This window comes from Homo sapiens, chromosome 6 (genome assembly GCF_000001405.40).
Source record: "Homo sapiens chromosome 6, GRCh38.p14 Primary Assembly".
NCBI lineage: Eukaryota > Metazoa > Chordata > Mammalia > Primates > Hominidae > Homo > Homo sapiens.
Genome location: NC_000006.12, coordinates 31,380,101 through 31,393,206, shown reverse-complemented (window position 1 = coordinate 31,393,206; position 13,106 = coordinate 31,380,101). Strand labels below are relative to the sequence as shown.

The window sequence follows — 13,106 nt, the reverse complement described above, 5'->3', positions numbered from 1 at the left end:
AAGTAATTTGATAATATGTATGAGAAGGCTTAAAAATATTCATGCGGCCGGGCATGATGGCTCACGCCTGTAATCCCAGCACTTTGGGAGGCCGAGGCGGGTGGATCATGAGGTCAGGAGTTCGAGACCAGCATGGCCAATATGGTGAAACTCTGTCTCTACTAAAAATACAAAAAGTAGCCAGGTGTGGTGACGTGTGCCTGTAATCCCAGCTACTTAGGAGGTTGAGGAAGGAGAATCTCTTGAACCCAGGAGGTGGAGGTTGCAGTGAGCTGAGATCTCGCCACTGCACTCCATCCTGTGTGACAAAGCGAGATTCCGTCTCAAAAAAAAAAAAAAATTTCATGCCTTTTGACCCAGTAACTTTTATTGAGAAATCTGTGATTTTAAAACAAAATCCAATATATAGAAAGATCTTTAGGTATAAGGATATTAATTACAATAATGAAAAAAACATGCAAAAGAAGAGTGGCTAGGTCCTCTGTTTGGAAACAGCCTACAGCTGGTGAAAGCTGTGTGTAAGAAGATTTTGTAATATGATAGAAAGTTGTGTATTGATAATAAAGTTTTGAAAAGCAAGATTCAAAATAACTCATAAGCATGACGACACTAAGTCATCCTGCACAGTCACCCGCATGCACAAAAACCAGGAGTGGAAACTCAGGGGCAGCTGCAAAGCACAGCTCCAGGCCCCTTCCCTCTGAAGTCTGAGGCTCTGCCAGGCAACGTTTCATCCCGATCCTCCCAGTGGAGACACTGGCAGTTTCCATCCTTCTGCTTCTTTATACCTTTTTATATTTTCTGTACTTGAGATTTTACTTCCTAAGAAGATAAAATACCTATTAGAAAGTTTTAAAAATTTGAAATAAAATTTTAAAGAAGTCCAAACGTCTGGCCAGGCGCATTGGCTCATGCCTGTAATCCCTGCACTTTGGGAGGCCGAGGCGGGCAGATCACGAGGTGAGGAGTTCGAGACCAGCCTGGCCAACATAGCGAAACCCTGTCTCTACTAAAAATACAAAAAATTAGCTGGATGTGGTGGTGGGTGTCTGTAATTCCAGCTACTCAGGAGACTGAGGCAGGAGAATCGCTGGAACTCGAGACGCAGAGCTTGCAGTGAGCCAAAATCGTGCCACTACACTCCAGCCTGGGTGATAAGAGCAAAACTCTGTCTCAAAAAAAAAAAAAAAAAAGTCCAAATGTCCATTCCCAACTCAGCTTCAAGGAAAGTCTCCTCTAGACTCCACAGGGTAGAAATTCCTGTTGATGGCACCTTCAGAAGGTAAGAAAGGAACTCGTCCTCCACCATGCCTGACCCGTCTTTGGGTTTTAGGCATTGGCCGACTGATAAAGGCAATACTGAGAGTGTGATCAATGTGTAGACGACCGATTGTCATATAATATGAATCTCACCACACCTGAGAGAGTGGGATAGATTCTCTCATTTTCATAGTTTGGGCATCTGAGTCCCTGAGAGCCTGAATGCCTGACATGGATTCTCCAAGAATGTTGGCCTTCAGACTCTAAAGGGCCCCGGGTCTCCTGTGAAGCCCCCTGTGCATGCACCACACCCGCAGAGGCTCCACAACGGCGGGAAGGGCACCCAGGGTCAGAGCCCAGGCGAGTTCACACTCGGGGACCATCCACATCCAGGGCGTGCAGGGGAGGGGCCGAGGTGAGAGCCCAACCCCTGCCTAGGCTGTGGTGACTGGTGGCTGCACGGGGGTCCCAGCGCTCCTGGAGCTATCATTCTTTATCTCCTGAAGACCCCGGACCCGCACATACCAAAATTCTGCATTTCTGGTGGCGCGGTCTTCTCTTTTGAGATGTAAACACTACTTCTCGAATCTTAAAGCCAGCCATTGCCACTCCTAAGGGATAAGCCTCTAACTCCACTGAAATTAGCCTCAGAATTTCAGCTGAGCATTTGGAGCCACAGGCAGGAAGTCTGTGGGATTTGCACCTGGCTGATCTGGAAGGTGGTCCTGAAAGGTAGTGTGTGACTAGGGGGGCTTTGAGGGGCATGGATGTCCCTGATGAAAGGAGAACAAGACAGATGGGAAGGTTCCAAAAGTGAACTTTAGGGGGCCCTGTGCCCATCACTAGGATTTGGAAAATCTTTTCCCAGCCACTTTTGGCCTGTGGGTTTTCATTCTGCTTTCCTGTCTGCCAAGCCATTCCAGGCAATCCCTTCATTTGGTAAACATTTATCAAATACCTACTGTGTGCAGGGCATTGTTTTAAGAGGAGCTGGGACTGAGATAAGAGGAAATAAACCCTCCTTGCCCTCAAGGCGTGCCCAGTCTTGCTCAGGCAGAGATCAGTAAGGAAATCATAACACAAATTGAGAGAGGAAAAAGGAAGAAACTGGTCAGGCGGGCAGTTATGGTGGGTCCTCAGTTGAATTATTTCAAACAAAAGAACGGCCTGCAGGCACAAAGAAGGGAACTTGCACAGGGGGGCTTGCCTAAGACATGCCCACAGCTGCACAAATAAGAAAGGCTGCACAGGAGACTTGCCCAGACATGCCCGCAATGGAAAATTCTGTCCCCCGATACGTGGGCAGTCAGGGAAACAAAGCAATATGGAGTAACTTAAGCTAAGGGCCTGCATGGGCACTAGGAGGATGGGGTGGAGCTACCGGAAATTCGTGCCTTATGCAAATGAGACACCCAGCCCTCATCAGTTTCTTATAAAAGGCTTTGCATTCAGCTGTAAAAATGGCAACCATCTTCCAAGCCCCCTCTCCGTGGGGGAGAGCTTTCTTCTTTTGCTTATTAAACTTTTGCTCCAACCTCACCCTTTGTATCCATGCTCCTTAATTCTCTTGGTGGTGAGACAAAGAACTCCAGGTAACACCTCACAAGGAGAGACTGAGAGGCTGCTACGTTGTGGTGCATTGGCAAGACTAACAAACTGGCTAGTGGGACATGCACACTTGCTTGGTAGACATATATGTAGATCTTCAGCTCTGACTAATGAAGGAATACCAAAAATCTCATAAAAGAAAATAATATTATTTGAGCTTTGTTTTGTGGTCTAAGTGGGAGCCCCACAGGCACCCAGGGTAGGAGAGCTTTGCTCAGAATCCAGGAAGTGAACATCTTTCCCTGGGCCAGGCCAAGAATGAGACTAAGCTGATTGAGGAGCCTGGTGCCTCCTGGCAAGAAAGGGTGTCTGACACCTGACTATCCAGAAGTCACAGCTACTCAATATTGAGACTTGAAACAGAGAGAGAGACAGAGAGAGAGAGAGAGACAGAGAGAGAGAGAGAGACAGAGAGAGAGAGAGAGACAGAGAGAGAGAGAGAGAGAGAGAGAGAGATCTGATTTGAAAAGCAGAATTCTGCTGGGGGCTTGTTAAATGCAGAGTTTCTGATACAGTAGGTCCAGGCCAGGCCCTGAAGATTGCATATCTAAGTTCCCAGGTGATGCCAATGCTGCTTCCCCCAGGACCACACTTTGAGAACCACCACCCTAAGGCAATCTGTGTTGGTTTCTAATATCAGAAGAGGGCTGGGAGTGGGCTGGGAGGCAGAGGTGTAGGATCAGTGCGACCACACCTGACCCACCCTGGACAGCTCCCCACCCCATTCTTGCAGCATTTTATTTCCTGGGAGTCCTGGGAATGGAAGACACCCAGGAAGGGACCAAATGTGGGGTCACAGGGTGATCCAGAGGCTCGGCTTCATACAGCACCTGGGGCTCCCGCCACTCCACAACTGGCCCCCACACCCTCAGTCTTCCCACCCCTCACGACACTGACCTCCAGACCTTCCTCGACTAATCTCAGCAGGTTGGGCCTGGGATGTGACACTAGGAGCTCTGAGTGTACCTTCTGATCCAAAGATAGGGTGACCGCGTATGACAAGTACTCAGATGGGCCATTAATAGGACCTTGAACATTTGGCAAATGGCTTCAGTCACGTGTGCTTGAGAATTCCAGTGTTTTCTAGATATGGCATCCATGAGCCCACACAAACACTGGAGGGCGTCGTGAGCATACTGAAACCCATAACTGCTGCACTGGATCCCCTAGAATCCCTTTCCCACTTAGACCAAGATTTGAACAAAATTTCCTTCACCAAACAAACTGCATTTAATTAATCATGCTGTTATTTTACCTTGTAATGGAAAAAAGACAGATGTAAAGAAAGATCATGCAATTAAAAAGAAAACAACGTACTGAATTAAAATGGCGGTAAACCTCCTTGTTAAAGGAATAACATAATATTTAGAAAATTTTTAAATTTTATTTCGATAAAGGTTAAAAAATTCCATTAGTTTTTAAAAAGTTTTTCATTTTGAATTTTTTGGGGGTTTGTTTGGTCTCCTTAGGAATTATCTTTTATTTCTTGATATAGTTCAAAATTCAAAATTCAAAATGTTCAAAAGGTAAAATGTCTCTCTCTTACCCTGTCTCATCCCCAACAGGCAACCAAGGATATTAACTTCTTGCTTATTCTTCCAAATATATTTTATGCATATGCAAGCAAATATAAATGTGTACATATATATCCTTTGTCCCTTTTCACACAAATTTTAGCAGACTCTATATGTTATTCTACACCTTGCTTTATTTCTTCATGAGGGAATATCAAGAGTTTTCTATGTCTTTCTTCTTTTGTGTTAAATGTTTGTAGACTCTGCCGTGTAGCTATGCAGTGCTTGTTTGGGTTTTCTTAAGAAGGGAGGCCTCCTTATGTTACCCAGAGTGGAGTAGAGTGTATTCACAGGTGAATGCTACTGTGCCCAGCTTGCAATGCTTTTTTAACCAGTCCCCTAGTGACAGACATTTGGATTATTTTTTCTTTTATCTGTCATTTTCTTTCTTCTTTTCTTTTTGCTTTTACAAACAGGGTTGCAACATATAATTCTGAATACAGTCATTTTTCAGGAATGCAGGTGTGTTTTGGACACATTTCTAGAAGTGGGACTACTGGGTGTATGCATTTTTAATTTGGACAGAAATAGCCATACTGCCTTTCCTGAAAACATTTCCAGTTTGCAGGCCCATCTGCAGTATATCAGAGTACCTGTTTTGGTACCATTATTTTTTTGATTATAGAAATATGTAGAGATATATATTTGGGAGCCATCTGTGTCTAGATGATATTTAAAATCCTGAGAGTGGAGGACACCGGAGTGATTAGGAAGGTAGTAACACCCCAGAGTGCTCCAGCATCTACAGCAAAAGGAGCCAATGAAGGGGGACTGAGGAGGAGCAGCCAGTTGGGGAGGAAGAGAACTTGACCTGTAAAATGTCAAAGAAGATTTTAAAGCGGGGAGCTGATACAACCTCTTCAGAGAACAATTTGACATCCTATAACACCACATGGTAAAAGCACAGTAATCCCATTCCTACATCCATATCTTGGGGAACTCACACAGGGGACCAGAGAGAGATGACCCAGGATGTTCATTGTGGCAGTGTCTGTAACAGAAACAAGCTAAAGGTCACGGACAGAAGAGATAAATTGTGGGATATTCCTCCCATGAATACTATCCAGAACTGAAAACAAAGTAACTGTTTCTATGGGTGTGGGTTCACCTCATAAACCATATTAAATGATAAAGCAAGCCACAGAATGATACATTCAACAAAAAACAATTTATACGAAGTCTAAAATCATGTAAAACAAAGGGATTTTAAAAACTTTGTAACAATATAAAGGCATTCACCAAATTCAAGACATCCGCCACTCCCCACTGGCAGTCCTTGCTTTACTCAGTACAGTATCGACTGAAACACATACATAACAGAACTGTGGAAAATCAGGGCTATCTGCATATATTTCTATTATTTTCTATGTATACTACATATAGCCAATAATATTAAAATGTTACAAATTGACAAACCTGAGTGGTGGCTTCACAAAGATTTCTTTTAATTCTCTATTCTTCCAGCTAGAACTACTTCAGCTAGATCAAGTGGTGGCAGTGATCTGCAAAAGTCAGAGGTCACAGTTACCATGACAACCCCAACAGAGCAGGCAAGGTTGTGCTTGACCTGCAGGGAGTGTGGGGAAGGTTAACAGAGGGCAGTGTCCCAGGTTCAGAACAGAAGGACAGCCAGCAAGGGCGCTGCTTGATATCTATGAAAAGAAAGCAAGAATTGAGGAGCAGGAGGCTGAGGGTGTTTGATCCAAGACAAAGTCATAATCTGTTCTCAATGCCTAGACCTCACCTAACTTTCAGATTCAGATCCCAATGACAGAGGAGGGGAGTCCATATCCCTAGGAGGAAGAACCCTGGAACACCCTGGGAGTATATGCTGGGTCAATTCCCTGAACTCTTCTGCAAAGGAACCTACAGCCATTTACACAGGAGACTGTACACCGGGAAAGGGAAATAGGCAGAATTTGGGTGAGTATTGACTTTGTGTGTGAACTAACATTGATGCCCAGATTCCTACAGCACCATCGTGTCCCATCACAGAGGGGCTTCCAGAGGCCAGGACACATTATAGCTCACAATCCCGTAGTCCCAGCCCTGTTTAGTTCCCTATTCCTTGAGTGCATAATGGCATTGATGCACTGGCAGCTGGAGTGACCCCCACACCGCGTCTCTAACCTGTGGATTAATGGCTCTTATTGCGCTGAAGGCTAAAGGGAAACCTCTGAAACTGCCCCTATCCCAACCGAAGCGATATTACGTCCCAGGGCAGGTCTTGGAGGTTATTGCAGGTATTGTGGGGGGTAGCACCACCATTAGAGAGCTGTAGGAGGTGGGATAGTGCTGGAGTTGCCTATTATCTCCGTGTATTCTGTCCTTGCAGAAGCCCAATAGGACCTAAAGAATGAACAGGATTACTTCAGACTTGACCAAGTAGTGGTCTTGATTGCAGCTGCCATGCTGGCTGGATATCACTGCTAGCAGAAGTTAATGAGGCTGCAGGCCAATGGTGTGCAGCCGAGGATTTGCTGAGTGCATTCCTTTCCAGCTAGAAAGTGGATATGGAGTTATTCACATTCATACCACATTTATTTACACTTTCCCTGAGAGCTATTATAACTCTTCTGTCATCTGTAACATAGTCTTAAGAGATGCCGGACATTCTACAGAATATTAAATCTGTTCATTTCATTGGCAACATCATAGATTGGGATGGATGAGAAAGAAGGTGGAAAGTATGCTGGAGGTCTTGGTAAAACACATGCACCCCAGAAAGAGGAGGATAAATCTTACAGAAATTTAGGAGTGGCAACTGCAGTGAAATTTTATGGGTCCAGTGGCTAGGTGCATGCAGAGATATTTCTTCCAAGTAAAAACAAAAGAAAACAGAAAAAAAAACCCGTTGCATCTTTCATCTTCAGTGAGAAAAAAAAAAAAAAGAGAGAGAAGCGGACTGCCTGGTGAATCTCTTTGGGTTCTGACAACACCACATTCCACATCTAGGTATATCATTTTGGCCACATTTTGGGTGACATAGGAGGATGCCAGATTCAAGTGGAGCCTACACAGGAAAGGACTCTGCAGCAGATCCAGGCTGTGGTGCAGGCAGCCACCATCCCTCAGACCCCCTGGTGCTGGAGGTGGCAGGGCTGGGGAAAGATGCAGGATGGAGTGAACTGAGCATCAGTGGGGAAAGTCACAATGGAGGGCCTGGGATTCTGGAGTAAGTTCATGTCATCCACAGCAGAAATATATGCCCCCTTCTCGAAGCAACTTTTAGTGTTGCTGGCCCTGATCAGATAGAATTCTTGACCACAGGACACTGAGAACCACGTAATTCCAAGTGGTTGTATGAATTGGCTTCTGTGTGACCTACAGAGTTATAGATTGGACAGGCCCAACAGTGTCCATCATGAGATGGAAATGGTCCATGTGGAATGAGCCCAAACCCCAAGTTAACACCCCATCTGCCCAGAAAATACCTGCCCCTGAGGTGGCACTGAACAACCAAGCAGACAAATGGAAGTTAGCCAGCCTTCACTGGGGGCCATCTCAGGCCTTGCAGGGTGGGAACATGCATGCAGGAATCACAATAGCTCCCTTCATGTGCCCATCCTTCCAGGTCACTCAGTGGCCTTGGTCGGTGGGAGTCAGTGCTGCTGGACCCATAGGTAGCCTCCAAAAGGTGAGACTCCCACCTACCAAGGCCGAACTAGCTGCTGCCACCTCTGAATATCCAACTTGTCAGGATTAGACACCCGTGATAGGCCCTGATGTGCCCTGCTTAGGCACTATTTCTTTAGGTGATCAAAGTGCCACTAAATGACACATTGACCACATTAAGCCTCATCATGGAAGGGCCAGAGATTCATCCTCACTGGGACAGAAACTTCCTCCATGGGTAGGCTTTTTCCCCCACTATTCTCAGACTCTCAGCCAGCACCACTGACATTCCTGATCCACAGGTTTGGAATTACTCTCAGCACAGCCTCTTCCTGGGGGACCCACCTCACAGGGAAATGGAAGTGGGTGCAGCATGGACCATGACCAGGGGATCCACTGATCCTATCACCATCTGCACCCTGCGGGGGCTGCCGGCCACACAGAACATTGGACAGGCCTTCAACAGGCACAACTCAGAACCAGCTTGGAGGAAACACTGAGGAATGGGTGCCATCTTTCAGGGCACGGTGCATTTATTGAATCAGAGACATCACTACGGTGCTGTATTCTCAGTAGGAAGAAACTTGGGTCCAGAAACCAAGGGATGGAAGAGAGTGTGGCTGCATGTCCCATCCCTTATATTCACCCACTGTGGAACTTGGACTTCTCATATCCCAAATCTGGGCTTTGTAGTATAGGAGGTCCTGGTTTTCCACAGGGAGGCACTCAGACAAGGGGACAAACAAGAGCCCATTGAGCTACACATTACAGTTGCCCACAGGACTGTATGGGCCTAGAGACAAGCAGGGAAGAAGAGCACTCCCCTCCTCTCCAGGCAGGAGTGATGGACCCTCATCCCCAGGACGAGGCAGGGCTGCTGATACACAGTAAGGGCAGGAGGAGTTTGTGTGGAACCCAGAGATTCACTTGGGGGCCTCCTTGTTTCCCTTGTCCCATTGTAAATGTGAACAGAATCGTCCAGCAACCCAGTCTGACAGCGTTTGATTTCCAAAGGCCCAGACCCCTCAGGAGGAAGATTGGAGCCGCATTTCCAGGAAATTTCCCAAGGCCTCCCTCCCGTGCTCTGTCATTCTCAGCAGCATTGGTGCAGAGGCCCTGCTTCCCATGGGCTGTTCCCAGCCACTGACACGTAACAGCAGGGACACTAAGACAGACCATTCCTGGGCAACAGGAGACTCCTCTGTTGGCCATCTGTGGCTGGAGGACTCCTCCATGGCCTTGCTCAACTCTCCTCAGATTGCCTGTGGTCTAGGATGCGTCCAACAACCCTTCTTTCCTTTTGTCCAGGACTGGAGTCGGCCTTGCCTCTGGATGTGCCACTTTTCCCAGGGTTCTCTGGCTCCCTCCCCATATTCTCTGACAGGTGTGTCCCCCAATAAACCTTGTGAGAGGCCCTGAGCCAGAAGCACTCAAGGAAATCTCTCCCAGATTCCTGACCACTGGAAACTGTGGGAGATGATAAGTATTTGTTGTTTTGGGTTGTCAAACTTCATGTTATTTATTATACAACAATAGACAATAGCGCTTCAAAAGAGAGAATGAATTACTACACTTTAATTTTTATTTATTCTAAATTAACTAAAAGATATTCAGTGTTATTTGGTTTTAAGATTTCAGTATTTCCATGTATCAATAGGATGTATTTTATTAACATTCACAACAACCTATTTATTTGAACTTCAGTTTCCTACCACGACCCAATTAAACACAAAAGGAAGATCCTGGCTATGCGAGGATGATTCAGTGATGGCCCCCACATAACCACCCCTGGTGATTCACCTTCCCCAGTTACTCAATCAACACTACTGTAGGTGCCGCTGTGAAGGGATTCTGCAGATATAAGCAAGGTCCCAAATCAGTTGACTTTAAGACCATGATTATCCTGCCTTGGACTGTCCTAATCAGGTGAGCTCTTAAAACAACTTATTTCTTCTTCAGCAAAGAGATTCACAGTGTGAGCGAAATTCAACGTGAGGGGCTTCCTCCGCTGTGAGCTTTGAAAATGAAGGGGCCATGTGGCAAAGGATATGACGGGCTCCAGGAATTGAGAACAGCTCCACCCCACCTCCACCTGACAGCTGCCCAGGAACAAGGACTACAATCCCACAACTGCCTGAAACTGAATTCTGCCACCAAGCTCTGTATAAGCTGGAAGGAGGACCCCAGCCTCAAGATGAGGACACAGCTTCGTGAAATCCTGAGCTGAGAATCATTCACACCAGGCCTGGATTTCTCATTAAGGAAATGTAGAGAAATAAATGGGTGCTGTGTAGAGCCAGTGAGTTAGTGGTAATATGTTATGCAGTAACAGAAAATTCATACATAGACCAACAGATAAGCATATAACATTTTCTCGATTGGAATAAATTAGTGAATTGAAATGTACACTCCTTGTATAAGATAAAATCTTTCCTAATTTTTTGTATTCTTCATTTTATAATGTTTATGCAATGCAATTACATTTTAATACAATCATATTCATGAATTCACCAAAGACCAAAGCTAACTTTGTATCTACTATGTACCAAGTATGTCTTTACATACCGTGCAGTTGGTTCAGTCCTCACACCTGCTTTCTTCATGTTTCCTGCCCTGGGTCTGCAGTCACAGTTTTGGAAACTTCTCTGGGGTCCAAGACTAGGGGGTTCCTCTAGGACCTCATGGCCCTGTCTCTTCCCTAGCCCCTCACAGGATGATTTCTTCCCAGAGGCAGAGAAGGAGGTGCTCAGGCTGTGTGTAACTATGGGAGACGGATGTGGAGGAGCTCACCTATGCCATAATTCCTCCTCTCCCACATCTCCTGCAGGCTCTGACCGGGTCCTGTTTTTGTTCTACCCCAGGCAGTGACAGTGACCAGGGCTGTGATGTGTCTCTCACAGCTTGTAAAGGTGGCGTCCTGGAGGGCCTTATGTGGAAGGGGGATGGGGTACAGGGGACAAGACTGGATTACGGTGATTCTTTGGGACACTTTGAGTGTGTAGTGGGGAGTTCAGAGTGTTACGCTTTATGGCCACTGACCTGAATTTGTTCATGACTATTGTTTTCTGTAGCCTGAGGCAGCTGTCTTGTGAGGGACTGAGATGCAGGATTTCTTCATGCCGCCCCTTTGTGACTTCAGGAGCCTCTGGTGTCTCTTTCTGCAAAGGCATCTGAATGTGTCTGTGTCCCTGTTAGCCTAGTGTGAGGAGGTGGAGAGACCAGCCCTCCCCCATGTCTACCATGACCCCCTTCCCCATGCTGAATTAGCTGACTTTACAAAAAGAAAATTACCATCAATAATGTGGATGGGCCTCATCCGATCAGTAGAAGACTCTGAGAGCAGAAACTGAGGTTTCCCAGAGAAGAAGAAATCCTGCCTCAGAATTAGAACATCTTCTTTCTGCGTTTTCAGCCTGCTAGCTTATCCTGCAGATTTTCATACTTACCGCCCTAATAATCACATGAATAAATATCATAATATGAATACAAATACACACACACACACACACACACACACACACACCTTATTGGTTCTGCTTCTCTGAAGAATCTGGACTGATAGAGACTGTGGTACGAAGAGTGGTTCTAGAGGAACAGAATCTTTTTAAAAATTTTATAGCTAACCATAAAAAATACTTTATTAAAATGTTGAAATGTATATAAGCATAACTACAAATTAGCAAATTAAGAATTAAATTGGCAAATAAGAAAAGAATTGTTTTCTTTTCCTAATACAGTACAAGCAACAGTAATTTGGATCTTCCTCACTTTCAGCCACCATTTGCCCTAGGTGTCCTTCACTTAAGCTTCTAGCTTGTGTTTTTGGAGTGAAAATTCACATGGATACTAAGAAGCAACTCTAATAATGTGAATCAGGTATCAAAAACTCCTTATGGCATGTTAACATGTAATGATGGTTCATATATATTCCAACATCTCACAACAGGCAAGCATTATTTCCAGAAGAAAATTAAGTCACTTTTGTAGCTGTGAGTGAATGTTCTACAAATGAACACTGAAGATTTAAGGCATTGCTCTGCTCTGGAGCAGTGCTTCTGTGGCTCCAGCAAACTGTACAAAGGCTTTCTTTAATTATATATATATTATTTTATATACACAAATATTATATATATACACACCCCCTGAATCTAAAAGTTGAAAAAAGAAAAAATACAAATGTATCTTCTGTGATAGTTCAATTACTTCACTCCATCGATGATTTTCTTGGGCATAGAACTGAAACTATCAGTCAATGATGTGTGTTTATACACCTGGCTGTGATTCAAATGGTTATGAATAAATGGTCTTCCATTTCCTGTTGCCACTATAACATGGTTATTTGTCCCTGATCTAACAACTCCTTCTCCAGCTCCATTCTCTGGCCCCTGAGATTAATAGTCCAAGTGGTATCTTGGGTCAGTAAGTGGTTAGACAGGACAAGGTTGATTTGAGCTAATACTTCCGGCATGTCCATTTTGATTTGTAACAGAGGCTTTTTCTGGATTCATCCCCTACAAGGTGAGCTGGATCACCTTGCAACCATCACCCATGCTTGAAAATACGGGAGGTAGCCAGTGTTTCTCTTTATGGCCAAACACTTGTCTCCAATTTTTACTATTGTCTTGTTTTTTTAAAACCAACCAGCAGTAGTAGCTGAAAGAGAGAGACACTGAACAAGAACTTTGCAGGCACAAAGAAAAGGAAAAGTATGTGGAGCTTTGCTGTGTATCTGTCAGTTCATCCTACTCCACTAGAACCTGGCGTTCTCAGGACTTGATGTCCTGCAGGCACCCAGCTGAGGGCAGTGAGCACCCTGAGAGCCAGCTGGACTCCCCTCTTGGAGTGTAATCGCACAGCAACAGCATCTGCATATGGAGTTGCCCTGCACTTCTGGAACCGTCTCTCTTGGTCATGGGGGCTACTGTGACATTGTCCTTTCTTCCGTTTTCCTTTCTTCCTCTGTCTTGTTGCTAGGGATAACTTTGCCCCTGCTGGCGTCATGTCCTGAAGAGCTGAGGATGACACATCCTGGCTGGCGTCCTCCCTGGT

The 13,106-nt window shown here is 45.2% G+C and overlaps 1 long non-coding RNA gene and 2 pseudogenes across 1 annotated transcript; 1 reads left to right on the top strand and 2 right to left on the bottom strand.

Moving 5' to 3' along the window:
* Positions 1-5,348: 5,348 nt before the first annotated feature.
* Positions 5,349-7,950, bottom strand: LOC124901300 (uncharacterized). Its single transcript, XR_007059542.1, has 3 exons — positions 7,877-7,950; positions 5,859-5,944; positions 5,349-5,433 (listed from the first exon to the last, which is right to left on the bottom strand). It is a non-coding gene; the product is annotated as an uncharacterized LOC124901300 (long non-coding RNA).
* Positions 10,720-11,638, top strand: HLA-S (major histocompatibility complex, class I, S (pseudogene); annotated as a pseudogene).
* Positions 12,368-12,799, bottom strand: ZDHHC20P2 (ZDHHC20 pseudogene 2; annotated as a pseudogene).